Source organism: Homo sapiens, chromosome 15, assembly GCF_000001405.40.
Source record: "Homo sapiens chromosome 15, GRCh38.p14 Primary Assembly".
In the NCBI taxonomy this organism is placed as follows: domain Eukaryota; kingdom Metazoa; phylum Chordata; class Mammalia; order Primates; family Hominidae; genus Homo; species Homo sapiens.
Window position 1 is genome coordinate 63580979 of NC_000015.10, and position 27585 is coordinate 63608563.

Consider the following 27585-nt stretch of genomic DNA (forward strand, 5'->3'; position numbering starts at 1 on the left):
TTGTACTTAATAGAGATGGGGTTCACCATGTTGGCCAGGCTGGTCTCAGACTCCTGACCTCGAGTGATCTGCCTGCCTCGGCCTCCCAAAATGCTGGGATGACAGGCGTGAGCCACCGTGCCTGGCTGCTAATAGACTCTTTACAGGCCATATAATTCACTTCCACATGTGAGCTCTGAGGTGAAATTCACACTCATGCTGCTGCAAAATATTAAACTGAGGTACATTTCAGGGTCATTCAGGCTTTTCAAATAGTTAAAATAGCAGTTGCCAAATCTGTGAATGTTAAGGGTATGTTGTATCTAGATAGTCTTCCCCTTAAAGAAATATATTTCCATGTGTTTATATGTATGTTTGTGTTGGTTTTTGTGTGTGTGTGTGTGTGTGTGTGTGTGTGTGTGTGTGTGTGTGTGTGTGTGTGTTTAGATGGAGTCTTGCTCTGTTGCCCAGGCTAGAGTGCAGCGGTGCAATCTTGGCTCACTGCAACCTCTGCCTCCGGGTTCAAGCGATTCTTCTGCCTAAGCCTCCTGAGTAGCTGGGACTACAGGTGTGCAGCCACCACACCCGGCTAATTTTTTTTTTTTTTTTTTTTTTGGATTTTTGGTATAGACAGGGTTTCACCATATTGGTCTGGTCTCAAACTCCTGACCTCATGATCCACCTGCCTCGGCCTCCCAAAGTGCTGGGATTACAGGTGTGAGCCACTGTGCCCGGCCCATATGTTTGTTTTTTAAAAGACAGGGTCTCACTCTGTTGCCCAGGCTAGAGTGCAGTGGTGGGATCATGGCTCACTGCAGCTTCAACCTCTTAGTCTGAGGTGATCCTCCCACCTCAGTCTCCTGGGACTACAGGCACATGCTGCAATGCTTGTGTTTTTTGTATTTTTTGTAGACACAGGGTTTCACCCTTTTGCCCAGGCTGGTCTTGAATTCCTAGGCTCAAATGATCCTCCACCTCAGCCTCCCAAAGTGCTGGGATTACAGGCGTGAGCCACTATGCCTGGCCTGTATGTTTTAATAATGGTTTTCTTTATACATATGTTTATTGAAGAATTTGGAGAAAACTCAAAAAAGTAAAAAGAGGAACATATACATCCCTTATAAGCTTATCATTCAGACATACTGTAGTTCAGAAATTTTATGTTTAGAAACTGTGATTTAAAAGTTGATTTTTAGGGCCGGGTATGGTGGCTCATGTCTGTGATCCCAGCACTCTGGGAGGCTAAGGATTACAAATAGGCATTAGGTTTCTGGGGATGCTCAGGTAACTTTTTAAAACCCATGAAGAGATGACAGTGGTAGTGGAGATTGTTCTCTACTAATCCAACTAGGGTTTACTATAATAGCACTTTCTTAGGGGAACTCCCCAGGAGGCCCTACTGGGCACACCAGTCTCCTTACCTTCTGCTTTGGCTGTGATCCTGAGGATGTCCCCACCTCTTGGCAGGCAGTACCAAAAGGGAGAACAGAGAGGGGTTCTCAAGGCAGTTAGGGCCACCATTTTTTAAACTGAGGGTTTGAAAAACCAGGCTCAGCTTATATTGCCTCTTTATGAATCATCTTATGGGCCTGACCTGATCATGTCTATTCCTTTTTGGTATCTCATGTGGTCTTAGAAGAAAAGGACTAACTTTCCATTATCTTGTGCATAAATCAGCAGGGAGACCACTACATGGTCACCTTGTAAGTTTAAGCAACTCAAAAAGGCAGGGAGGAAGAAAATGTTGGAAAGCAAGAAGATGCTGGAAGATGCTGGGAGAAGGCATAAAGAGCCTCCTTTGCATTGGAGAGAAGATGAGGACAGGAAGGAAGGCTGCGAGAGGTGCTTTGGTTTCAGAAAAGGAGCAGGGTGATGGCAGGGGCTTTGCCTGGCAGGTAGAAGGAACAAGAGAGCAGTCTAGTATTTATGTGCATTTCACATAAATGCAGATGAGTTACTGTGAAATGTTGATAGATTCTTTCAGTAATCTCAGTGCTCCTCAGGGTATCAAATTCCTGAAATTAAAGCTTCTAAACAGTTACTAAAGGAGATTTAGAATACCACCTGCCAACTCAGTAGTAGCCCTCTGAATGACCCCATGCTTCCACACACGGGGAGACCCCTTCAGAAAGTGGGTCTGTACAGGTTAAATATAGGGGGGGGAAAAAGGCTTCTCTGCTGTTGAGGCATTTCTGCTTCTCAGTGTTGTGTGGCTAGGTAGCACAGGCAACAATGTCTTGCTGGTGAATCATAAACCATCTGGCTAATGGGATGGAGAGGCTGGAGTGACAGTATTTCAGAGTCATACTCTCCCTGCCTTCTTATTTGCCTGTGAAAGTTTCAAGCAGACATTGTCAATTAAAAAAAATGAGCTAGGCACAGTGTGGCTCATGCCTGTAATCTCAGCTACTGGGGAGGATTGCTTGAGCCCAGGAGTTTGAGGCTTCAGTGAGCTATTTTATACTCCAGCCTGCATGACAGAGGAAGAAGACCTTGTCTCTTAAAACAATTTTTTAAAAAATTGTGGTAAAATATACATAGAATAAAATGTAACATTTTAAGTGTCTTAAGTGTGTAATTCAGTGGCATTAAGCACACCCAAAATATTATACAACCATTACTACTTGTAAAAATTTTTGTCATCCTAAACAGAAACTCTGTACCCATTAAACAGTAACTCATTACTTTTCCTCTCTTGTTCCCAGTAACTCTTATTGTATCCTCTATGAATTTGTCTATTCTAGGCACCTCATATAAGTGGAATCATACTATATTTATCCTTTTGTGATTGGCTTAACTTAGTGTATATTCAGGGGTCATCCATGTTGTAAGCATGTCTCAGAATTTACTTCCTTTTTGAGGCTTAATATTCTCTGGTATGTATAGACTACATTCTGTTTATCCATTCATCTGTTGACGACACTTGGGTTTTTCCCACCTTTTGGCTATTATAAATAATGCTGCTATGAACACTGGTGTAGAAGTATCTGAGTTCCTGCTTCCAGTTCTTTTGGGTATATACCTAAGAGTGGAATCGCTGAATCATAATTCTGTTTAACTTTCGGAAGTACTGCCAAACTTTTCCACAGTGGCTGTACCATTTTACATTCCCACCAGCAAGGTACAACGGTTTTGTTTTTTTTTTTTTTTTTTTTTTTGAGATGGAGTCTCGCTCTGTCGCGCAGGCTGGAGTGCAGTGGCATGATCTCAGCTCGCTGCAACCTCCACCTCCCAGGTTCACGCCATTCTCCTGCCTCAGCCTCCCTAGTAGCTGGGACTACAGGCACCCGCCACCATGCCCGGCTAATTTTTTGTATTTTTAGTAGAGATGGGGTTTCACTGTGTTAGCCATGATGGTCTCGATCCTCCTGACCTCGTGATCTACCCGCCTCGGCCTCCCAAAGTGCTGGGATTACAGGTGTGAGGCACCGCACCCAGCCGGTACAAAGGTTTTAATTTCTCCACTTGCTAGCTAACACGTTATTTTCTGCTTTTGTTTTTGTCTTTTAAATAACAGCCATCCTAGTAACTGTGAAGTAGTATCTCACTATGGTTTTGATTTGCATTTCCCTAGTAATTGTGATGTTGAGCATCTTTTTATGTGTCTGTTGGTCATTTGTGCCTCTTTGGAGAAAAGTCTATTAAAGTCCTTTCCCCATTTTTGAATCAGTTTGTTGCTGAGTTTTAGGAGTTCTTCATATATTGTGGCCATTAATCCCTTATCCAGATACATAATTTGCAAATATTTTTCTCCCATTCTGTGGTTCTCTTTATAGTATCCCTCAATACACAATTTTTTAATTTTGATAAAGTTCAGCTTATCTATTTTTTCTTTTGTTGCCTGTGCTTTGGGTGTCATATCAAAATCATTGCCAAATCTAATGTCATGAAGCTTTTCCCCTACATTTTCTTCTAAGAGTTTTATAGTTTTAAGACTTATGTTTAAGACCTTTGATCTATTTAAATTTTTGTATATGGTGTAAGAGTCCAACTTAATTCTTCTGCATGTTGATACCTAGTTTCCCCAGCACCATCTTTTGAAAAGATTGTCCTTTCCCCATTGAGTAGTCTTGTCATTCTTGTCAAAAATCAGTTGACTATATAGTAAGAGTTTTTTTCATTGGTCTGTATGTCTGTCCTTATGCCAGTGCCATCCTGTTTTGATTACTATACCTTTGTAGTAAGTTTTAAAATTGAAAGTATGAGTCCTATAACTTTGTTGTTCTTTTTCAAAATTGTTTTGGCTATTCAGGATTCCTTGAGAGTCCATGTGAGTTTCAGGATGGGTTTTCTATTTCTGCAGAAATTTCTATTGGGATTTTGAGAAGAATTGCATTGGATCTGTAGATTGCTTTGGGTAGTAATAATCATGTTAACAACATCAAGTCTTCCAGTCTATGAATGCAGGATGTCTTTAAAAATTTCTTTCAGCAATGTTTTGTAGTTTTCAGGTATAAGTCTTTTGTCTCCTTAAATGTATTCCTAAGTACTTTATTCTTTTTGATGCTACTATAAATGGAATTATGTTAATTTCGTTTTTGGAAATACCTAACAATGAATACATTGTTAGTGTATAGAAATGCAGCTAATTTTTGTGTGTTGATTTTGTATCCTGTCTTTTCATTCCCTTGACAGTATCTTTTACAGAGCAAAAATTTTTAATTTTAATGAAGTCCAACTTATAAATCCTTCTTTCATGGATTGTGCCTTTGGTGTTGCATCTAAAAAGCCATTGCCAAATGCAAGGTCATCTGGATTTTTTCCTATGTTATCTTCTAAAAGTTTTATACCTTCAGTCCACTTTATTTGTTTTTGTGGAGGGTATAAAAGTCTGTGTCTAGAATTTTTTTTTTTTTTTTGGCATGTGAATGTCTTTCAATTTTGTTCTTCTTCAATGTTGTATTTGCTATTCTTGGTCTTTTGCCATTCCATAATAAACTTTAGAGTAATTTTGTCACCATCCACAAAATAATTTACTGGTTTGAGATTGCACTGAATCTATAGATGAAGTTGACATCAATATAGAATAAAACTGACATCAATAGTGAGTCTTCCTATCCATGAATACAGGATGTCTTTATGTCTTTTAAAATTTCTTTCAGCAACATTTTATAGCTTTCAGGTAGTTAACTTTTTAACTGTAGGGTTTTACATGAGATCATGTGATCTGTCAGCAGAGATAATTATACTTTTTCCTTTTCATTTTGGATGCTTTTTTCTTGCCTGATTGCTTTAGCTAAAACTTCCAATATTATGTTGAACAGAAGTGGCAAAAGTGAGCATCCTTGTCTTCCTGATCTTGGAGGCAAAGCTTTCAGTCTTTCACCATTGAGTGTGATATTCACTGTGGGTTTTCATATATGGCCTTTGTCATGTTGAAGTTCTCCTTTTTTCTAGTTTGAGTGTTCAAATGATGATTTTAAATGTGGAAAATTCTGTGTTTCCTTTCCTTATTTCTTATTCTCCCTATGACCCCCGCTGTCCCCGCCAAGGCCATAGCTTTTTACATGATGTAACAAATACTTGCTGAAGAAAGCACCCATGACTTCAGCTGCAGAGCTCACAAGCACCATAGTGATCAGTCTGAAGGGATTATTAGTGCCAGCCAGCCAGTCTGCTGTGTAGTCAGTGCTCTTTCTTTGTAGCCAGAGATGTAGGACTTGGGAGGCTCCTGAGAACAGCATCACTCTATTTGCAAGTTTGGTTGTAATGTCTGAGACTTGCTTCAGGAATTGTAATGTCAAAATATAATACATCCTTTCCCAGGAACCATCACTGACATAAAATAGCAGGTTGAGCAGGTTGGCAATGTAGTATTTGTGGGAAATTGAGGAAAGAATGGTTAACTGTCCACTGGAGGTTGAGAAAGTCTCAAAGAAGTGAGAATTGAATTGAGTTGCAGGGAGGCGAGAATTGAGTTGTAGGGAGGCAGGCATAGGAATGTGCCTTCTAGGTACTAGGATCAGGCAACAAAGGCATATTCAAGACTGTCTAGTCCTCTGCCACACCTTGCCTCCACTAACTTTCCCTGAAGGGGCGCTGTCTGCTACTGTCGCGGACACAAAGGCTGACTATGGCTTGGAAACTTGAGTACAGAGACAAGAGCGCTTTTCTGTACACAGCTAGGTTTCTGCTTGCTACCCAACTTTAATATATTATTTAAAGATACATACATGTTCTATAAAGACAAATGACATAAAAGTCAGGATAATGGCTACTTCTGGGCAGAGGAAGGGGAATTATCTTTGGTAAGAAGCACATGGCCACACAGGTTGTCCACTGCACAACTCTAGGAGAGGCCGTGCACAGAGACCCTGGCTCCTTGAGTACTCGAGAAAATCCAAGTGTGGGGTCCATAGGCATTCATATTTTTTCTACAGAATAACGTGTATTTTATATAGATTTATGAATATCTGATTGCATCAGGAATTGGCACAGGGGCCAAAGAGTAAATACAGTAAGTCTTCATTTAATGTCATCAGTAGGTTCTTGGAAACTGCAAGTTTAAAGCAAAATGACATACAGCAGGTCCTCCAATAATAGTTTCCTTTAACGTTTAGTTATAACATTGATGAGAAAAAAGTGGTTTATCGTTGCTTCACATAAGGTCACAATTTTCAAGAACCTGTCATGATATTAAGTGAAGATTTACAGTGTTTTAGGCTTTGCACCACATAAGGTCTCTGCCCCAGTGACTCAGTTTGGTGTAGTGTAAAAGCAGCCAGACAATAATGTAAACAAGTGGGCATGGCTCTGTTCCAATGAAACTTTATTTACAAAACCAGGTGGCTGGCTGGATGTTTTAGGACTGTAGTTTACTAAACCCCAGGTTACACAATTACATCTTTAAATGAAAAAAAATGTAGCTGTGATTTATCTAGGAACTGAGAGTACAGCGTCTGGACAGAGAAGGTTGATAGTGTAGCCTTCTGTGATCTATGTTTATTTTTAAATTATCTAAATTTGACTTTTTTTTATGAGTTTGGAGCTTTGTCCTGTATAATGTAACATATTGACAGAAAACTACAATTGAAACTTTAAATTCATCAGGAAACCATTTTATCAGAATTATCCAGATGAATTATCATTAATAGTAAAACCAACACAATTGATCATCACCAGATGTCAGGCATGATGCCAGGTGCTCTACACATTATTTCTCTTCCTTATAATAGTTCTTCAAAGTAGGTATTATTTTTTGTCTCCAGTTTGCAATTGAGAAAGGTTAACTTTTCTAAGGTCGTATAGCTAATAAAGCTGAGATTTTAAACCTGGGTCTTTTTTCTACAGTACATTGCCTCTACAAAAGGCATCTTGTTTTAATGCTGCCAAAATCAATTTGTTTAGATTGTCTTCGCAGTTTTACCGACTTAGAAGAACTTGATGAGACAGAGTTATATATGTGCCATAAATGCAAAAAGAAACAAAAGTCCACAAAAAAGTTTTGGATTCAAAAACTACCCAAGGTGAGTGTTGAATTTTGAGTTATGAAGCAATTTCAATGGGAAAGTGCTTGACTGCTAAGACCATGTCTATAACTTTACACTATGTGAACTGTTCTGTATTTTTCTCTAGGATTTTCAGTAAAAGCTAAACCCCTTACAGAATGAATGCATAAGGTATGCATGGAAGAATGATTGATAGGGCAGCTAAAATGTTATTTACTGAACTGATAGTAGTATCAAACTTTGACTGAAAGGTAAATTAGGTGTTCACAATCTTTGACCGCATCTCTGTCCTCCAGGTGCTATGCTTACATTTGAAAAGATTTCATTGGACAGCATATTTAAGAAATAAAGTTGATACATACGTAGAATTTCCACTGAGAGGCCTAGACATGAAATGCTACTTACTAGAGGTAAGGTGGTTACCTTTTTAGCATGGTGAAAAAATGGCTCTTCAGTAAGATTGTCATCACATGGAGAGGGTAGAGGTCATCGAGATACTGATGTCATTGACCACTGCTCCTTCTTCCTTGTTCTGTAGCCTGAGAACAGTGGCCCGGAGAGCTGCCTGTATGACCTCGCCGCTGTGGTGGTGCACCATGGTTCCGGGTGAGTACAACAGCCAGCTTCTGGTGGGTGGGAATACCTGGTGGCCAGCCCAATGACCTGCAGTTTTGTACCACTCTTGCTAGTTCTTCCTAAAAAATGGATTCAGATAAAGTAGGTGAAATTTCCTTCAGTTTTGGTGCGGAAGAGTACTCCTCAGATGATGTTGTGAAGGCTTAAGGGAAGGTAAATAAAAGTGAAATGAAGAATGGTTCATTTGAACCCAGTATTTACGACCCAGTCTTTATTTGTCCACAAACTCCAAAGTTGCTTATTCGTTTACCAACTGAAATTTAAATGGGGCAAAAGGGGAAATTACTTGGAATAACTTACTCCATATCATCTACTTTAAAGACTCATTTTAAGTCTTGTTAAAAAACATTAATTTTTTCCCCTGAAAGTTTGTATGAGGGGTCTAACCTTCTGGTTTTTGGTTTGAGAGTGGCTATTTTACCTTCAAACTTAAGACTACTATATGTGGGCAGACGACTATCCATGTTGAAAATCCTTTTCCCGCAGAGCTGTGATAAAGTAACGTCTACACTCACATAGTGTTATGAATGACAAGTCTGATTCTCACTACTTTACAGGCACCTGGCTTTTTTCTCCTTGGAGTGTATTCCTGCTTGGTAGTTGGTAGGGACACTTTTAATTTGGTGCCTTCAGCTCATGAAACTCTCTATACTGTAGGTCTGAAATCATTTGTTCTCTGTACCCCTATTATATGCATAGTGAATTTCCTGGATCTCCCTTCCACATGTCTTAAATACTCTAATGATTTCTGTCTGTGTTTCTAAAGACTGCCATGGCCTACTTTTCCAAATCACCAATTTGGGTTTCATCTGTATCCAAATAAAAGATAAGCTCCTCCATAAAATATTTATATTAAATCAGTCACATTTTTCTGACAACTTTTTCGTAACAGCCTATTCTTGTTTTATGATTGCACTATCTTTTTGAAACTATTAGCACTAATTTAAAAATGTAAAGTTCTCTTAGGTTTTCTGCATTCAATTCCTCAGGGTTGATTGCCTTGCTTGTTCTTCCCGGTATTTCTTTCCCCTCAAAAATGTGATTTTGTAGGCGTGCAAAAGGCTTGTTTTTAAAATTTGGTTTTGGTGGTTTATTTGGAATCATAGTAAATGATGAGATGGATCTTTATTATTTAAATAGGGTTTTCCTGGCACCTACAAAGGTCTGTTCTAGCTGCAGGCCTTCCGTCTGACTTGGAGGACTGACTCCAGGGTTGTGTGTGTGAGTGGGTGGGTCATGCTGATAGGGTAGAGCCCCTGATGACCACGGTGTCAGGGAAGGGTGCCCTTCTTTGTTAAGCTTAGTTTTTTCCTAAGATTCTGATGGGAAAACCTGGTACCTAGTTTTCCATGTTTCCGTAGGCTTTGACCTGTGCTTGTTAGGTTGCGAGTTCCTCATCTCTGTTTTCTCCATTAGTCCAGGGCCATCTGCTTTGTGTTCTAGCAAACCCTCGATTTCTGGTCAGTTTGGAGGAAGGTAAAAACATTAATTTAACAAGCATCTTAAATCAAAAGTCTAGGATGTATTCTTATTAAAATTTAAATCTAACATTATATAGTTGTACAGGTCTTTTTGTGATTTCTGAGGTTCTTTTTTCCTTTGGTCTTTTGCCTTTACAGGGTTGGTTCTGGACATTACACAGCATACGCAACTCACGAAGGCCGCTGGTTCCACTTCAATGACAGTACTGTAACACTGACTGACGAGGAGACTGTGGTGAAGGCGAAGGCCTACATCCTTTTCTACGTGGAACACCAGGCCAAAGCTGGATCGGATAAACTTTAATACCTCCTCCAAATCATCATTCACCAACCATACCAGAGAAACATTTCCAGTTTTCCACAAATACTTGATACAAGATTTAATTTCATTATGCACTTTTCAATTTCCTATTTTGGATTTAGTTTTGTCAATGGTAGTGACTTACTGAACATGGGCACCAACTAATTTTGTTGTTGTTCTACCAGAAAACCTCAGCAGATGTTTTGATTTGCTGCTTTAGTTGTAATAATTCAATTTTTATAGGTAGTTGTAAGAACTTAGTCTTATTTGACTTTTTTATTTTATGTTAATGTTTTCAGTTCTCACTTTGAGGCACATTTACATCAATGCTTTTGTTCCTCTCACATGCTGAAAGCAAGATGTGTTCCTTATTGTGAAGAGCGACACAACTGCCTGCTGCCTTTCCACAGCTATAATGGACATCAGGTTGACTCTAAATCAAGGATCATGTGTGCACAATACTTGTGGCCCACAAAATTTCACAATGACTGCTGAGGAATCATTCTTTTTGCCTGTAAAATATAACAAAGGGCATCATTAAGTAGACCAGGTAATTACTGCTTGTCTCTCAAGGCTGCTGTCTTTATCAGCACTAACTAAATAAATTTGTTGGTTCAGTTGTACTTGTCCTGCAAATACAAGAATTACTCTCTTTGTTGGTTTTTTTGGTTTTGGGGCATACTTGTTTGCGGGGAGGTAAGATGGGAGTAAAGACCAAATACATGTAATGTTTAAAAAAAATGCTGTGACTCACTGACATGGTATAGGTGTTACCAGTGAGGTAAAGCCATGGCGTCTGCCTCCTTTTGAATCAGTATCTCATTCCCCCTTAGTTGTACCACTGGAAGTCACGACATGTCCATTATAGACTTACTTACTGCTTGTGTTTGGCATCTGAGTCTGAGGTGTGACCCTCTGGGATTTACTTGGATCATCACCCGCACTTCAGTTTATCACTGGGGGGTGTGCTTCCACAGGAGGAAATTTAGAATCTTCGCTGCTCTGGGTTTTAACACCTCTCTCTGGCCTATCCTGATTGATAGGACAAGTTGAAAATACTGTTGGAGTAAGTAAGTGGAGTTTTCGTTTTGTTTTTTGGGGGTTTTTGGAGACAAGAGTCTCTCTCTGTTGCCCAGGCTGGAGTGCAGTGGCACGATCTCAGCTCATTGCAACCTCGGCCTCCCGAGTAGCAATTCTCCTGCCTCAACCTCCTGAGTAGCTGGGATTACAGGTGCCCACCACTACACCTGGCTAATTTTTTTTTTGTATTTTTAGTAAAGACGGGGGTTTACCATGTTGGCTAGGGTGGTCTCAACCTCCCTCCTGACCTCAGGTGATCCGCCTGCCTCAGCCTCCCAAAGTGCTGAGATTACAGGCGTGAGCCATCACGCCCAGACAGTTTTGTTTTTAAAAAACAGATTTAACTCAAAGATTCAAATTTGGAACCAGAATCCCATTTAAAGAAAGCAGTTGTGGTTTCTACAAGTGTTCTAAGACAGTCCTGTGGTGGTTTTTTTTTTTTCTTTTTTTTGGTTGGGGGCGGTGGGGGTTGGTAGACATAGCCTACCAATTCTCCACAAGGGACAAAATGTATCTTGTGTTAAGCCAACGAGACTTTCTGGCAATTTTTTTTTTTTTTTTTTAATGGAGTCTTACTCTGTCCCTCAGGCTGGAGTGCAGTGTGGCATGATCACAGCTCACTGTAGCCTCAACCTCCCAGGCTCAAGCGATCCTCCCACTTCAGCCTCGAAGTAGCTGGCACCACCACACCCAGCTAATTTTTAATATTTTTACTAGAGATGGGGTTTCACCACGTTGCCCAGGCTGGTCTTGCACTCCTGGGCTCAAGTGATCCACCCACCTTGGCTTCCCAAGGTGCTAGCATTACAGGCATGAGCCACCACGCCCAGCCTGTTCTATTAAAAACATCTTGACCTTTTTTTTTTTTTAAGTTTATGATATAAAAACAGTCTGGTGGCTTTCCCTCAGGTTGGATATCTGAAGTTGTGGGAGCAGATGTAGCTCCATTTCCATTTTAATATTAACTGGATAAATCCCACATCTTCCCAGAACACATCTGCTAAACACTTTAACATGACAAGGAGCAAATTACAATTATGTGTAAACTTATATCATCCAGTACAATGGCCCCTAGCCACATGTGACTGAAATTTAAATTAGAAACTCAGTGCCTTCAGTCACACTAGCCACATTTCAAGTGCTCAGCACCCACATACGGCGTAGGACAATGCTGGTCTAAATTTTCACTCCAAAGAATAAAACTTTGCCATCATGTTTAGGTCTTACAACTTTGAGTCCTAAAAGATAATAGGGAGATGTGTGCTTAAATTAATTTACAATGCTAAATTATATTAGGTTAAACTGTATGAAACCCTGCTATTTGATGAGTTCTGATCTACAAAAATGACAGCTCCACCTGATCTGATGTATCACACATTAACATCACATCTAATTCAACCTGAAATGTGAGTCTCCTTTGATCTTGCAAAGTATCTCCTATGAATCCGGGCTCTTTTGCTTAGAAGGTAGACAGCTGTAACCTCTAACATTGATACTTCGATCTTCAGTCTCTCTGAATGGGCAGCTGTTAAACAGTAAAGGCCTGGGCAGAGTTGATGGTGAAAAAAAGCTGTATTTTTATACCAAATGGAACTTCAGCAACACGTTGGACTACTTTGTCGGGCAGAGTGGTCTTCAGACAGGTGATGCTGTTGGCTTAAGAGATGAACACGTCTTCTCTCTGAATTTGTTTTTATTGGTTGGTTTTACTTGAACAGAAACGTTTGAATGGTGTGAAGATTCTTTAGAAAAGTGATTGGATCCATCTCAATTGTGCACTTGAACAGCAGTGATGTAAATGTGCTTATTTGTGTTTTCATTTTTAACTGTGCAGCCTTACCACACCTATTTTGAAAGCTGATCTTTTGTCCTCTTCAGGGCTTTTCCCTTGTGCCATGTTGTCTCCAGCAATATATGTGGCTTCTGGCTCAGAGCTTCTGCTGAGGCAGGGCCTCGCGCTGAGTCACATGGCTCCTTGGAACAAGAAAACTTTCTCAGAAGTCCCCACACGGGTGGGTGACAGAAACAGTTTGTGGCAACACAAATCTCTCTCCATGGTGGAGAAACCTTTGCTTATCCACTGTATTCTACTCAGTGTATAGTGATGACAGATGTACTAGAATTAAACCAGTCAAGTGTACTGGCCCGGGGTGAGTGTTAAATGTGTATCTCGCCTGTGGAACCTACTCAGCAGCTTGGTTTCTGGGGTTGGGGGCATATTTATTTCTTAAAGCCAAACCTCTCCTTCATTGGTTTAGTGTACATAAGTCTATTTAGATACACTTATCCCACTTTAATCTCCACCAGCCCCTAAACTCTCTCCTGTACCCTCTGTTGCTGAAGTGGCCTCTTCACCTGGGCCCTGGAAAAGCCGATGGAAAAAGTCTGTTCCTGCAGCCAAGGCCTGGGTCCCAGGTGACTAGGAGTAGCCATAGGAAGGTGAGGAAGGAGAAGTGGGCATGTGGTGTCATCTGTAGTCCAAGGTCTCTGCGTCTCGTCAGTGGGTGCAGTGCCTTCCCCCTCAGGTGTGAGCGTGATGGACTCTAGACTGCCTTCCATGAGTGTTGGTCATGCTATGATGTCATCATTTGCCATTAAAACCCAGTTTGTATGATGCCAAGAGGATTAATTGTGCAAGTGACTGATTCATTTAAATTGTAATCACATCCCTTTTCTGCTTCACCAACCTGAACTGTTTTTAAAAATATCATTAAAAGTCTGTTCTCTTTCCTTTTGACTTATTTCTGAACACCTTTTTTCAGTAGAGCCACATAAATGATGATGTACTTACTCAACTCGTGGGCCTCCTCAGTCAACAGGTAGCAAGCTCTTACAGAATCCCCACGATTTGGAGCTGCAGTACCTGGGCCAGGATGAAGTGACCTGTATGGGCAAAGTGATGGCCTGGAGATGAGTGCCTGCAGTCAGGTGCCTGAGGTCCCACTCGGCCTTGCCCAGTGAAATCACCCTCAGTCTCTTGTGACTATTGATCTTATAAAAATGAGGCCCCTTCCCTTCCCCTTTAGAGCTAGACTCTACCCTGAGGCACTAGTTTTGGGGCTCTGAGCAAAGGATACTGGTCATCTTTTAAGGTAAAACAGGCAAATAAGTGCTTTTAAATAAACATCCTGTTTACAGTAAGTTCCTATAGACTACTTCCCTGCCCCCATGCCTCCTGCAGACAGAACCCTGTTTCCACAGTCATCCTTTGCCTGTTCTTGTCAGTCTTCTAAAATTGAAGACACAGGTGCCTGCAGCTCAAATTGTTATGCATCCTTGTTCCGTAGGGCACATTCTTTTGGCAGCTGTGCTGGTCAGAGGCTGCGTGGTTGCTGTCACTGCTGCCAAACAGCATAGCTCTGGACAAGCCCAAAGGGGCAGAGCTTCGTCATCTCCTGGCTGTGCCTCAGACCCTCTGCAGCATGCAGGAGCACATTCCCCCTGGCCCTGGTAGTCTAGGATGCTTCCTGCAGCCTACCTGGAGGAACAGCAGAGGGGCAATGCTCTAAATGTTCTCCCTGCCAATCTTTTGCCATTCCAGCTGGGCTGCAGTAGTGCAACTTGGAAGCCATGCTGAAGCACAGTGACACTTACTCAGTGGAAGGCACAAGTACCACTCTGGCCTTGCAAGAAGTGGAAAGAACCACCTATTCCTAAGGGTCAAACCCTCTGAAAAGCATTGGTTTGAGGAGGATTGGGGAGGGAAAGTGGAGATAATGTGGCTTTCTAATAACACCACCTGTGGTTTTGCAGCATCCATTTTAAGTGGAGAAGTACACCTAGACAGAGCCTAAATTAGGGTGTCAGCTATAATTCAGAACTACATTGATGAGCTTGAAATAGCAGCAGTATCTTGCTCCCCTTCCTTGGGAAATGCTTCCTTTCGACCTCCTTGGTTTGTTTTTAAGAGAACCCCCTACTGTACTTCATCTTGGCATGGTGGAGTAATGGAGGCACAGGGGCACCAGCTGAGGCTGGCTTCTCAGGAAAGCCACTGACAATGGCTACTTCCTTCTTTGCTTGACTGCCTTCTGCTTTAAAGGCAAAGCTGCACCAGCCCTGACCAAACCTTAGTTCCAGAAGTGGGTTCAGCATAGGCTGCTTCATTTGTGTCTATGGGAAAACACAAGGATTCCCATTCCCTCTTATTCCAAATGGGAGAACAAACAGAAGTAACCACTGAGGTGGTGGTCCCTGGGCTGGCAGAGGAAAAACCATTCTCTTCTCACTATTGCCTAGGCAGAACGTGGCCTATACAGCTGCACCATATCAGCATCCCCCAAGCAAACCAAAAAACAACGACTGGGATTCAAAGCAGGAGAGTTAAGGTTGGGTCCTGGGTTTGGGAGTGAAGCAGCATGAGGAAACGGGTCTGCCATATCGTGAAGCCTCGGGTACTCAGGAAGGGGGAGCTTCACGGATAGTACCTCCAGGCACCTTGCCTAGAGTTGAGTCAGAGAGGGCAGGGGTGGCCCACTGGCTTCTCCAAGAGGGAACGGAGGGCACTCATAGAATGGATGGTGTGTGGTCAACTTAAAGGCAAAGATGGACTAAAATACTGAACTTAAAATTGTTTCAAGCAGTTTCACATTAAGAGCTACCTCATCCATCCTGACATTTTGGGAAGTACAGGTTATACATAGTACAAGGCCTTATCAGTGAGAAAATGTAAAGCCAAGTAAATTTAAATTTAAAACACAGAAAGTACTGCTTGACCAAAACTACAAAAACAACAACAACAACAACAAAGCACCAATAAAACATAAAACACAGACACACAACTTTGGAAAGCAGCTACTTCAGTAAAATTCTTTTATGAAACAACTCAGGGTAAAAATCTAGCTGTTGGGGAGGCCCAGGAAAATCCCCCTGCCTAGTGGCAGGCAGCAGGGCTTGAAGGCCAACCAGCCTAGCCTGGAGACAATTACTCTATGGCACAAAAATAACAGGAATGAGGCAGCAGCCATGGACTCTGCTCACAACTCACAACCGTCACCCTTAGCTCTCCACACGCAACAGGTTTCTTCCTAGTAAGGGTGGAGCAAAAGATTCACACTGATGTACTAGAAAATCAAAACAGTTAACATTTACAATTACACTCCTTCCCCCTAAGTACAGACTGCAAAGCCAGACAGAGCTGGCCTGGCCGCCACCACTGCCAATGAAAACGCCTTGGGAAAAGCCAAAAGTGCTCACTGCTAAACACCATTGTCAGCTAAAGGGAAAAAAAAAATCCCTTTTAAGGAAAGTAACTTCAATAGGCTCCTTTTCTGCCAGGACCTCCAATCCCTCTGAACATAAGCCGAACCACAGACTGCCGCACATGTGTCTGGGTCCTGGCTTTTCTTCCCTCACCCCTCCGCAGAGCTTCAGCACCAGTTGTTAGCCAAAAATAAACACCATTCCTCAACCATATATGTCCACCGGCCCAGAGTCGGGGAGGAGGAGAGGAGGCAGGTCAGCCGTCCCCCGGCTGCAGCTGCACTCACATGTGGCCACTGCTCACCATGCACATAACCCAGCTCAACCGGGAGTGCCTGCTGCACCTCTTCTCCTTCCTAGACAAGGACAGCAGGAAGAGCCTTGCCAGGACCTGCTCCCAGCTCCACGACGTGTTTGAGGACCCCGCACTCTGGTCCCTGCTGCACTTCCGTTCCCTCACTGAACTCCAGAAGGACAACTTCCTCCTGGGCCCGGCACTCCGCAGCCTCTCCATCTGCTGGCACTCCAGCCGCGTGCAGGTGTGCAGCATTGAGGACTGGCTCAAGAGTGCCTTCCAGAGAAGCATCTGCAGCCGGCACGAGAGCCTGGTCAATGATTTCCTCCTCCGGGTGTGCGACAGGTAGGCCACCTTGCCTCCTGAGCAGTGCTGGCCCCGCTAGCTCTGGCTTCCCTCTTGGGGGGCAGGGAAGAGCAAATTACGAGACCAAGATGGCTCCACCTTCGGGGCGCCTCAAACTAGGCCCAAGGCAGACATCCAGACCGCCCAAAGCAGGGTCCCCAGGAGACAATAAAATCATGAGGGAAACAATTGCTAATCCTCCTCTTAGCCTCACAGGTCCTGGGCTGCTTCATGCAAACACCAAGAAGTGGGGCCTCCGTACTGGTAGTCATTAAGTGCTGGGTGGGTCCAGCTGGGCCTGGATTTTCAAGGTCAGGCTCTGGGAAAAGGCTTCCAGATGCAGCAATCAGCTCACCCCTCCATTAGGCCTAGCAAGCAGCCCTCAAGGCCTGGGAAACTACGGAGGAAAGAGAGGGTGGGGAGCCAGAGGTGGAGAAGCCAGGGTGCTCAGGTCAGCTGAGCCAAACCAGACTCCAGGAGTAGATGAATTACTGATTTACACAGTATTCCTAAGGAGGGTGGCTTAGCCTAATTTTTCAAATTAGCAAACTGATGCTCCACGAGGTGGTATGATTTGCCCAGTCTAGGGTTGCCAGATTTTAGCAAATATATAGGCTGCCCAGTTAAATATGAATTTCAGATAAACAGTGAATAATATTTTAGTGTAAGTATGTCCCAAATACATCTTGTGTTTATCTGCTAACCCCCACCCCAGACACAGACATAGACACTGAACCACCAGGCCAGGCTCCCTCCATGGTCCCAGCCTCATGGGCAGAGCGGCCCAGGCAAGAACACAGAGCTATTCAACCAGCCTCTCACTGAGCTTCTGCCAGTCCCGTGCTGCCTTTGAGGAAAAACACCCCCTTGATCATATAACAAACTGGCCCTGGCTGTTCATGGAAAACTAGACTCAGCCAGTTTACTGCCACCCAAGTTCATAGCTGCTATTTGCTGGCAGCACGACAGGAGTGGAAGGAAACAGCGTAGTGACCCCACCTTTCTTTTGAGCTGGTAGGAAGAAAACAGAAGATGGACTTGGGGTTGGGCCCCGACTGGACAAGGCTATTTTGATGGGCTTAACAAGGCCCAGGAATTAGACTAGAGTGACATGGGTGGGGGTTGGGGGGAGGCGAATGGCACAACATGTCCTGAAGTTGTTCCATTCTTACTGTAAGAGAACCGAGCTTAATGCCCCAAACCTGCAAGGTGTGAAGTGGACCTCCCAGGCCACTGTACTGATCAAGCAAGGGGCCCTGCTGTCACATAAAGAGCAAAGGGCTTTGCTGTCAGCACTCTGCTGAGCCGCTCAGCTCGTCCAACCATGTGACCCCAGCTCAAATACTTCAAACTCTTGCAACCTCATTTCTTCTTCTATAAAATGTGCTAAATTTTTCTTATCCAACAGGGTAAGAGGATTAAATGACACAGTGGCACCTGGCACATAGTAGGTACTGATGAACGTCTACTGAATCTGGTTCTTCTGGCACTCAGCTCAGGTCGGGAGGAATGGCTGAGGATGGCTGGGCAGGGGGACAGTCCGCTCTTTGTTTTTTCCCTGTATCAGAATTATTCCAAAGATTCTTAGAAGAAAAGATCACCCAACACCTTTGAGGCTTAAACACCTAATCCTTATAACCACCTTGAAGGTAACAATTCCTCCCACTTGACAAATGAGGAAGTGACGCCCAGCAAGGTTCAGACATCTGTCCTGGGTCTGACAGCAAATAAGTCACCAGCCAGTCACCTGAGCTGCCGGAGCCAGTTTCTTCATGTACAAAACTGGGGGTGCAGAGGTTGACGGGGTGACTAATGAGGGCACACAAACCTGAAGGAGGCCCGGGCTCGGTGTGACACCTGGCTGCACCCAACATATTTAAGTTCCTTACTTCCCTCCCCTGGCACAAAGGAGCCGAGCTGGCACAGCCAGGGGCAGTCACGGAGCTGCGGGGGAGGCTGGCAGGGAAAGGGAAACGCTTCCCCAGCCCAGACTCTAGCTCCCTCTGGCTGCGGGGAGCCAAGGCCCCGGCCCATTAGTCGGTCCTTCTGGACTGGAAGCAGGCTGGTCCCGTTTGTTTCCAGGGAAAGCGGGTTAGGACTGCCTGTGGAAGGCCCCGTTGCAGGCTCCTCACAACCCCAGTGGTAGACATTATTCCCCCCACGCAGAGGAAATGAAGGCTCCGTGAGTGACTGACACGGCGATAAACCAAGTCTAACTTGGCTCAAGATCTTTTCTTTGCTGGGAGGGGCTGGTGAGGCTGCAGCAGAGGGTCCCCCAAGCTTTCTGGCCAAGCGACCTGGGTGGGTGTCCGTGACTGTACCTGCTCAGGGCTTGCCTCTAGCTGCCTCCGAACCCTACCCTTTTCCAGGCTGGTGGCCCAGGGGATGCAGGAACAGCTCTAGTCTACTAAGCTGAACCCGGACTCAATGCTAACGCGTGCCCCCACCGCCTTGAGGGTTGGGATGGGCCTGTCACTAGGCCACCTCCAAGGAAACAAATCCCTCTTCCCACTCACGTCCCGCCGGGACATTCAGGGGCCTCAGCTTGAAGCTAGACTGGAGCAATCGCCAAGCACCGCTCCCCTGCAAGGCAGCACATCCAGAGCGAAACAAAGAGTCAAGGGTTGTGGCTCCTGGAACCGGCATTCCCTCTGTCCACAGCCGCCCCAGGACTCTGCTGGGCCGGGGTCGGGGCTTCCCACTAGGGGCTCCCAAGGCTACGAGCCAAGAACCCACGCAGATGAAGGTACGGTGGGGTGCAGGGGCAGAAAGAGGAGGGAAAATGGGCCGGCCAGAAAGCCGACTTGGAACCCTGCAGTGTCATCGCAGCCAAGTGTCTTCACCTCGCAGGGCCCGAGTCCTCCTCGGTAAATGAGTCCACTCGGTCCCATGGGGCGGTTGGGTAGCTTTAACAAGCCAGTGAGCCCCGGGTCACCGCACTCTCCTCACAGGTGCCCCAACCTGGCGTCCGTCACGCTCTCGGGCTGCGGCCACGTTACCGACGACTGCCTGGCGCGCCTGCTGCGCTGCTGCCCACGCCTGCGCGCACTGCGCCTGGAGAACTGCGCGCGCGTCACCAACCGCACGTTGGCTGCCGTGGCGGCGGACGGGCGCGCGCTGCAGACATTGCACGTGGACTTCTGCCGCAACGTGAGCGCGGCCGGCCTGCGCCGCCTGCGCGCCGCGTGCCCGCGCCTGGCCCTGCGGGCAGAGCACAGCGCCGCCATGCTGCCCGACCAGCCCCCGCGCCCGCGCGCGCCCGCCGCGGCCCTCGGCAAGCTGCTGCAGCGCTAGACGCCGCCCCGCCGCTGCCCCCGGGGAAGGAGCGCAGCCCCAGACCGTCCTGGCTTCGAACCCAGCTCTTCCACCTTCAGACCACCACCGCATATTCTGAGCCTCATTTTCCCCGTCTGCACAGTGGGGATAAGAAAGCCTACCTCACGTTACGATTTTATACATAGGATAAACGCAAGATTAAATGGATATTTGGAAAACACTCGGCTGGTTCTCACTCAACACCACCGCCTTTCCCCTCTTGCTTCCGCCCCAGGCTTTCTGCTGTGCGCTCCCCACGGAGGCGGGAGGCGCCTGCACCGTCCTCGGGGACTCCGATCGCCGTTGGACCGAAATCACCTCGGTGGGGAGGACCTGACCACTCGGAGTTCGCCGACTTGCGCTCGGGGGTGACGGGGGCCAGGGCTGCCGCGCGCAGGGGTCTGGGGAGCCTCCGGGCGGAGCGACCCAGCGAGACCCCGCCGGCTCCCGGAGTGTCCTGGGGACCGCCACCTCCAGGAGCCCCGGTGGTGATCTCGGTGAAGCAGGAGGAGGGGAAGCAGGGGCGCACGGGCAGAAGGAGCCACCGAGCCGCTCCTCCTTGCGGTTTTGCCCGCACGCGCGTCTGCCCGCCCACCTTTCCTGGGGCGGATGCGTTCCCGCAGTGACCGCACTCGCGATTGTAGAAAATTCGCTCCCAATTGTTGAATGCTTACATAAACTGCATAGTTACCCATATTTTCTACTGTTCTCATAAGGGAAAAAGAAATGATTTGGAAGAAAAAAAAAGCCTCAAACTAAACAAAAACAAAACCAGCAGCCCTGGCTAAGCTTTTGATAATGGAACCATTATAAGCTGACAAGCTAGATTTTTCACCTGTTGGATTTGCTGGACATGAGCACAAGCCTAGGCTTCCAATTTGAATTTCAGGGCTGTAGTCACTGATGTGTCACATTTAGTGAAGGCTCTCGGCCCCCCGGCAGCCGCCTGGTCCTGGGTCACTGGGGAGAATTCTGGGTGGGTGGAAGAGGCGAGGAGCACTGTGATGGGCGCTGTTCACACTCCGGCTCCACCCAGCGCCAGCTGCGACAAAGCCCTTTACCCCTCCCAGGCCAGGTGTTTCTTCTGTGTGAAAGAGGAGCTTGATCCCTACTCACAGGTTCCTTAATTCATTGCTCAAATAGGGAAACGGCAAGGAAAAAGACAAATTCTGTTCTCATGAAGCTTACCTTCTAGTGGGGGAAGAGACAACAGGTAACTGGTATATAAGAGGGTAGAAGGGCCAGGTGCGGTGGCTCAATGCCTGTAATCCCAGCACTTTAGGAGGCCAAGATGGGCGATTCACGAGGTCAGGAGATCGAGACCATCCTGGCTAACAAGGTGAAACCCCCGTCTGTACTAAAAAAAAATACAAAAAATTAGCCGGGCGTGGTGGCGGGCACCTGTAGTCCCAGCTACTCAGGAGGCTGAGGCAGGAGAATGGCGTGAACCCGGGAGGCGGAGCTTGCAGTGAGCCAAGATCGTGCCACTGCACTCCAGCCTGGGCGACAGAGAGACTCTTGTCTCAAAAAAAAAAAAAAAAAAAAAAAAATGGTAGAAAGTATTTGGAAAAAAGTGCAGGCTGTAACAAGGGCTATTAGGGATTGCTGGCAAGAGATTGGGGGGTGAAGCCTCTGAGAAAGGGTTGACCAATGTAAGCCTCACTGAGAAGATGACATCTGAGGCATGAAGTGAGGCAGGGGGCATAGATACTCCTGGCAGAGGAACAGTCAGTGCAGAGGCCGCGGACTACAGGCATGGCTCATGTGCAAGGAGATCAGAGTGGCTGGAGCAGAGTGAATGAGGAGGGAAGCTGAGTAGCAGGTATCTGAGAAGCAATGCAGCCCGCAGCTTAACTTCAACATGCTTTTAAACTTTTTTCCCATTCTCTTGAGTTTCAAGATATAACCTTGAGGAAACTCAAAATCCTTTCTCCTTAGCCTTAAAATAGACTCCACGTCCCTCCCCTTTCTCACCAGATATGCTCCCTTTTCATTTATCTAACTGTATGCTACTATTTAATTGTGTGATGTCTTAGAAGTTTCAGTGGCTAATCTTGAGACAGACCAAGCCTGGAGACCCAGCTGCAAACCTCCAAAAATTACTTCAAAATGGCTAATTAACAACCTGACCATTGTTAAAATAATGTCAATCCGAGGTCCAGGTGGACTGAAGCCCAAGATAGCCACCAGAACAAAACACACAGACATCATACTCAGCCCATTTCTTGCATGCCTTCCTTATCAAGTCTTCCCTTTTAAAAACCCTAAAAATTGCTTTCCCCTCTAAAAATTGAAGCAGTTACTTTAAATAGCAATCTGGCTACTTCCCCCTTTACTAGTTTTGGGTAATAAATTTGCTTTTTATTACTAGACTTCGTTCTTGTTAATTCAAGCATCTGCACCTGCTTTGTTTGGTTATGGTAAGGGATGGGGGTAGCAGTGGATGGACAGATTAATGTGAGGAAGAAATGAGAGATGAAGGTTCCCCCTCAGCCCAACCTACCCCCAGAAGGAACCAGGGCGCCATGCACAGATGATAGGTGAAGTCCCAGCGGCCCTGGATTTTGTTCCAGGCAGAACATGTGGACAGGCAAGCAGCACCCTGTCCCACACCAGCCCTTCTGGGGACTGCCAAAGGGCTCCGGGCTGGGGCAGTGCTTACTCCAGAAACAGGGTAGCCACAGTAAGCCCTGGCCCAGCATAATCCCTTTGTCAGGAGAGCCAGCTCTGTCACACCACCAGCTGCAGTGGAGTGGCAGGACTCTGCTACTAGCCTGTGAGACACAGGCTGCTTTTTGGTGATTTCTCAGTTTGCCCACCATTGCTTTGCACTCTGGAGAGGCGTTGTTGGGAACGAATTTTTCTCCCATTACTCTGAACACTGTTGAAAGCAAGCTCAGGCTTCCAGGGGGTTGAATGTTTGTCTACAACAGAGCCACTTAAACCCCAGGCCTTTGTTTTCATCTTCTCCAAAAAGCCCCAATTTCTAGTATGTTCTATTTGTCCTAAATTGGTGGCTTAGCCTGGACAACAACAGGATCCTGGCTTCAGGATCTAATGGATCTGGGTTTCCATCCCATTTCCCTCACTTTCTAGCTCTGTGACCAAGGACAGATTGGCCCTCTCCAAACCTGTTTTCTTATCTGAGTACTAAGGATAACAAGGGAACCTTGCTTTTGGGGTTCTTTTAAGGACTGTGATTATGTAAAGCAGGGGTCACTATAGGTTGAGCTAGAATGGGGTAACCTGCATTCCCCGACAACCCCCCTTTCCCATGGAAGCTCTTTTGTAGTAAGGGTTAAGTTCCCAGTTAACCCTCCAATGCCAACTAACTCCCCTGCATCCCAAGACATAGTGATCACAGAACTCAAGCAGTGCTGGCAGCTGTGTCCAGTGCTGTTTCTAGGGACCCAAATTGGCCCCCACCTTAGCCAGAGGAGCTTTGGGTTCTGAAGTGAAGGGTCATTTTAGGTGCCCCCAGAAGGTGGGCACTGATGGAGACACATGGCTCTCCACTCTGCCTTCTAACAGACACTGTTCACCACCAGGCATGAGCAAAACACTTAACAGAGCGCAATACCTCACTTAATCTACAAAACCACTTTTGGAGCTTCCAGATAGCTACATGCATGGAGGTTCCTGGAGGGTGGTGTGTCCAGGGAGGGCATGGAATCTCCGTGCCCCTTCCCCACTAAATTAAAAGGTAAAAAACAGCCAGGTGCAGTGGCTCACGCCTGTAATCCTAGCACTTTGGGAGGCCAAGGCGGGCGGATCACCTGAGGTCAGGAGTTCAAGACCGGCCTGATCAACATGGTGAAAAACTCTCTTCTAAAATACAAAAATTAGCTAGGCATGATGGCGGGTGCCTGTAATCCCAGCTACTTGGGAGGCTGAGATGGGAGAATCGCTTGAACCCGGGAGACAGTGGTTGCAGTGAGCCGAGATCGGGCCACTGCACTCACTGCACAGCCTGCGCAGCTGAGCAAGACTCCGTCTCAAAAACAAAAAAAAAAGTAAAAAACAAAAGAAAAATCCTTTCAAACTTAGGTTAGCATATAACAAAGAGCCCTGCAGACTTAATTAATCCACCAACTAATTCATCTCACAAGCATTTACTGGGTATTGGCCATGGGCTGGGCCAGGCCCTACCTGGAGTGACTCAGCCCTAGTTAGAAGACATGCAGCTGAGGTTGAGGGGGTGTTCTTGAGTGATCTCCAAGCTTTGCCATTCATAGCTTTTGACGAGATATGACCTCTCTGAGCCTCCGTTTCTTTATTTGTAAAATGGGACCAATACCCTCTTGGGACTGGGGGATAGGGGGAGGTATCCTCATATCCTTGGGGGGCTAGAAAAGCTGAGTGCCTGGCACAACACACAAATCCCAGGCACTGGGAAGAAGCAAGCCAGGTCTATCTGTGGGTAAGCCAGGCACCCTTTGTGGCAGACAGAGCTTTTGAGCTGGGCCACAGGTTCCAACCGTTAAGGAGAATATTTCCATTGGCAGGCATGGCACAGCAAAGGCAAAGGTCAAGAAGCCCAAGGCATATCCAGGGAAGGGGTGAGCCAGGGCTGATGGAAGCCTGATTGTATTCCCGAGCCACCCAGAAATGGTTTGGGATTATCTATGCCCTCACAGCCTCTATTAGATCATAGACATCCCTCAACTCCTGCAATGCTAACTCTTTCTAAGGTTTGGCCAAGGCAGCGAATGGTCACTTGCAGGTGAAGGTGGTGGGAGAGAACAGAACCTCACCACTGGGGCAGGACACTGCTCCCTGGCTGAAGGCTGACCTGTCACCACGTTGCACTGGTCTGCATAGGAGCCCCAGTGCCGGCAGAGAGACCAGGGCCACAGGCTCTTAGGTCAGGGTTCCAGATCTCCCCCAGGAGGCAGCAGGCTGCTAGCAGGAGGTGGTGCTCTGAGGCTTGTCTTACAGAGACACACTGGCCTGTTTCTGCACAGGATGAGTGTTCGGAGGGGAAGTGACTGAGCCACCCCGGCTCTACCACGGCACGCTGACAGGAAGCAGAGGCTCCCAGTTCTAGTCGGGGCACACCTATGATCCAACTTTCCCTCTCCTGACCTTGGATTCTTGGTTTATAAAGGCAGAGATCATCTGACCCCTTAGAGACTTTCCCTCCAGCTCTAGGATTCAATGCCCAAGATCTGCTTTTGGCTAAAAACCAAGCTCACAAGATGTGGGCTTCATCCGGCCAGAAGTCCTGGGCAAAGGCCACAAAGCTAGGAGGCCCAGAACAAAGCCATACTTTGAAGGATGTCTGGAGAAATCTTAAATTTTAAAAACTGATGGTCAACGTTTGCTTGAGGCTGCTTAAGGGTCATAAAAACTGCAAGTATCTGTTAAGTGAATGAGGCCAGCAAACAACTGCCTAAGCCTCTCTAAGAGCTGAAAGTAAACCAAGGGAAGCACCTGCACCAGGCCCACTTCAGCTCCTCAGATCAGGGACTTGTGCTTCCCCCTTTCCAGAGTTTTCAAAAAGTCAAGAGAGGCCGGGCACAGTGGCTCATGTGTGTAATCCCAGCACTTTGGGAGATCAAGGTGGAAGGACTGCTTGAGGCCAGGAGTTCCAGACTAGCCTGGGCAACATAGTGAGACCCTGTCTCTGCAAAAATGAAAACATAGTCAAGACAATGAGGAAATAACAGTTTCTGGCAACGAAACAGTGTGTGTTATAAAATCATGGCACTGTGCAGATTCCCCTCACAGGGTCAAACCTGAGCTGCTGTCTGTTAGCCCTGAGCCCAGGACCTGCAACCATGAGTGCCAGCCTTCTGGGGGTCCTCCTGCCCCCGAGTCCAGAGCAAACTGTGGCAGCAGCACAGGGTGAGGCATTATTTTGAATTTAGAGACTGCAGAGGTATCCTTTGCTCTGCATGTCCTCAGCCCAGCTCAGCAAGAGGGACGCAGGAAGCGGCTCAGAAGACCCTAAGAGGCCTCTCCTGGATTCGTCCAGGATCTTGGCAGCACAGATGCTTTTTTTTTTTTTTTTCTCACTCTGTCGCCCAGGCTAGAGTGCAGTGGCGCGATCTTGGCTCACTGCAAGCTCTGCCTCTCGGGTTCATGCCATTCTCCTGCCTCAGCCTCCTGAGTAGCTGGGACTACAGGTGCCCACCACCATGCCCAGCTAATTTTTTTTATTTTTAGTAGAGACGGGGTTTCACCATGTTAGCTAGGATGGTCTCGATCTCCTGACCTTGTGATCCACCCGCCTCGGCCTCCCAAAGTGCTGGGATTACAGGCGTGAGCCTTTCTTTTCTTAAATTCTCTCCTGGTCCAGAGGCCCAGGCAGGGCCTTCCCACCCCGAGCAGGAGGGCTTCAAGCCCAAAGCCCTTCAACGATGCTACTGACTGCGCTCTTAGATCGGTATTAAAGCCTCATCTTTACCCAGAACTCCTGGGGTTCCCCCCAAAGCTGGAGTCTCTCCCTGAGACCCAATTCTAGTTGAAGCCTTTTTTCAATAAAACGAAGATGTCATCATTCTAAATATTATTAGGTATTCTCACTAAGAAAGATCCATTTACCACATTATCTTAGCTGGCAAAACCTTATTTTTCTTTTAATTTCTCTTTGAAGACATACACCTATCTTCCTTGTGGAAAATAACTGCCTGCAGAGGGCTGTCTGTCTGGCACCTCATTTGAGCAGGCTGTCGGCAAAGACCCTGTCCGCGAAGTACAGTGGAAGTAGCCTGTGGCATGAACTTGCTGTAGGTGAGGGAGACAAGCTGTCCACAGGCCTTCCCCTCTTCCTGCACACACTCCAAGAGGCCAAAGCCCTCCCAGCTGCTCTCAAGATGGCCCTTTCCCCCAGAAACACAGGCTCACCCTGATGCTGCTGAACACACACACAGCACTCAGGGCCCGCAGGGGCTAGCTGAGTTTGAGCACCAAGAATGTAACCCCTTCCCCAGACCTCTGCACAATTCTATCATTCAAGGATATGAAAGCCACTCATCAGTTCTCATGCTAATTCACACATTCACTCACTCATTCACTCATTGATACATGCTAAGTGCCTGCTAGCAGTTGCTGGCCTTTCTGTAACACCTTCCACTTGGCTGCCCTCCCCACTGAGACATGTTGTAAACTACCCTGTTCTTTAATTCCATCACGTGCTCATTTTGTCTTTGTAGGTTCTTCATAGGAAGGGCCAGATGGCATTACTGTGGTCCTCTTCCTCCTTGTCTGGTAGAGTCGCCCTCCACATGAGGTAGCTGGGGCTGTCCAGAGAAGGATGCGTGGTACTGAGAGGGGCGGAGCAGCTGAGGGAACAAAGTCAGAGAGACCCAGGATGACAGAAGAACAATGGAAAATAGGGGCTTCCAACCCAGAGGGATCTCCTAGAACCACACGGTTCTCTGATACGTTATTTCCAAGTGAAGCCCACCCTCAATGTAAAGAAATGTTTCTGAATGGGTCAAAAAGCCATCAGAGCAAGACCAGCCTGGAAGCTCATTCTGTTCTGGGCTAATGTCTGCC

At 46.2% G+C, this 27585-nt stretch overlaps 2 protein-coding genes and 1 long non-coding RNA gene across 16 annotated transcripts in view, besides 7 other annotated features; 2 read left to right on the forward strand and 1 right to left on the reverse strand.

The window, feature by feature from the left end:
* USP3 (ubiquitin specific peptidase 3) overlaps nt 1-13655 on the forward strand; it is a 90041-nt gene extending 76386 nt beyond the window's left edge. For all 10 annotated transcript variants that reach the window (NR_046341.2, NR_046342.2, NM_006537.4 and 7 more), the window contains 4 exons: nt 7327-7445; nt 7724-7837; nt 7966-8033; nt 9683-13655. Coding sequence is in view for 8 of the 10 variants with exons in the window: in NM_006537.4 (NP_006528.2) it covers nt 7327-7445; nt 7724-7837; nt 7966-8033; nt 9683-9848 (467 nt within the window). In the remaining 2 variants the exon portion in view is untranslated. The remainder of the gene's footprint in view (nt 1-7326; nt 7446-7723; nt 7838-7965; nt 8034-9682) is intronic.
* USP3-AS1 (USP3 antisense RNA 1) lies at nt 6732-19849 on the reverse strand. Its single transcript, NR_034080.1, has 3 exons — nt 19611-19849; nt 13717-13808; nt 6732-8122 (listed from the first exon to the last, which is right to left on the reverse strand). It is a non-coding gene; the product is annotated as a USP3 antisense RNA 1 (long non-coding RNA).
* Nucleotides 9487-10686: an enhancer, noted in NCBI's record as "MED14-independent group 3 enhancer chr15:63882664-63883863 (GRCh37/hg19 assembly coordinates)". NCBI's record gives its function as "activates an origin of replication core promoter dependent on BRD2, BRD4, P300/CBP and CDK7 cofactors, and independent of MED14, by STARR-seq in HCT116 cells {active_cell/tissue: HCT116}" and the evidence as "EXISTENCE:reporter gene assay evidence [ECO:0000049][PMID:35650434]".
* Nucleotides 13728-13777: an enhancer, noted in NCBI's record as "active region_9540". NCBI's record gives its function as "activates an Ori minimal core promoter by ATAC-STARR-seq in GM12878 lymphoblastoid cells {active_cell/tissue: GM12878}" and the evidence as "EXISTENCE:reporter gene assay evidence [ECO:0000049][PMID:35858748]".
* On the forward strand, nt 16409-27538 carry FBXL22 (F-box and leucine rich repeat protein 22). 5 transcript variants are annotated; one of them, NM_001367809.1, is made up of 3 exons: nt 16409-16767; nt 18176-18218; nt 20318-22454. In NM_001367809.1, exons 1-2 carry the CDS (start codon nt 16415-16417, stop codon nt 18213-18215), a joined length of 393 nt encoding a protein of 130 aa, NP_001354738.1. In that variant the 5' UTR covers nt 16409-16414; the 3' UTR covers nt 18216-18218; nt 20318-22454. The 5 variants fall into 5 exon arrangements, with proteins under 5 accessions (NP_001354738.1, XP_047288356.1, NP_976307.2 ...); XM_047432400.1 differs by lacking the exons at nt 18176-18218; nt 20318-22454 and adding an exon at nt 27240-27538; NM_203373.3 differs by lacking the exon at nt 18176-18218.
* Nucleotides 18966-19683: an enhancer, noted in NCBI's record as "H3K4me1 hESC enhancer chr15:63892143-63892860 (GRCh37/hg19 assembly coordinates)". NCBI's record gives its function as "activates a minimal SCP1, AML or CMV promoter by ChIP-STARR-seq in naive H9 embryonic stem cells {active_cell/tissue: H9 hESC(naive)}" and the evidence as "EXISTENCE:reporter gene assay evidence [ECO:0000049][PMID:30033119]".
* Nucleotides 19751-20040: a silencer, noted in NCBI's record as "silent region_6520". NCBI's record gives its function as "represses an Ori minimal core promoter by ATAC-STARR-seq in GM12878 lymphoblastoid cells {active_cell/tissue: GM12878}" and the evidence as "EXISTENCE:reporter gene assay evidence [ECO:0000049][PMID:35858748]".
* Nucleotides 19751-20763: a biological region, named in NCBI's record as "H3K4me1 hESC enhancer GRCh37_chr15:63893123-63893940".
* Nucleotides 19946-20763: an enhancer, noted in NCBI's record as "H3K4me1 hESC enhancer chr15:63893123-63893940 (GRCh37/hg19 assembly coordinates)". NCBI's record gives its function as "activates a minimal SCP1, AML or CMV promoter by ChIP-STARR-seq in naive H9 embryonic stem cells {active_cell/tissue: H9 hESC(naive)}" and the evidence as "EXISTENCE:reporter gene assay evidence [ECO:0000049][PMID:30033119]".
* Nucleotides 20461-20590: a silencer, noted in NCBI's record as "silent region_6521". NCBI's record gives its function as "represses an Ori minimal core promoter by ATAC-STARR-seq in GM12878 lymphoblastoid cells {active_cell/tissue: GM12878}" and the evidence as "EXISTENCE:reporter gene assay evidence [ECO:0000049][PMID:35858748]".

Excerpts from the sequence above, each read along its gene's own strand:
- FBXL22 (NM_203373.3), top strand. The coding sequence starts at position 16,415 with ATGTGGCCACTGCTCACCATGCACATAACCCAGCTCAACCGGGAGTGC. Across the intron at positions 16,768-20,317 it reads CTCCTCCGGGTGTGCGACAG|GCTTTCTGCTGTGCGCTCCC; the intron begins GTAGGCCACCTT and ends CTTCCGCCCCAG.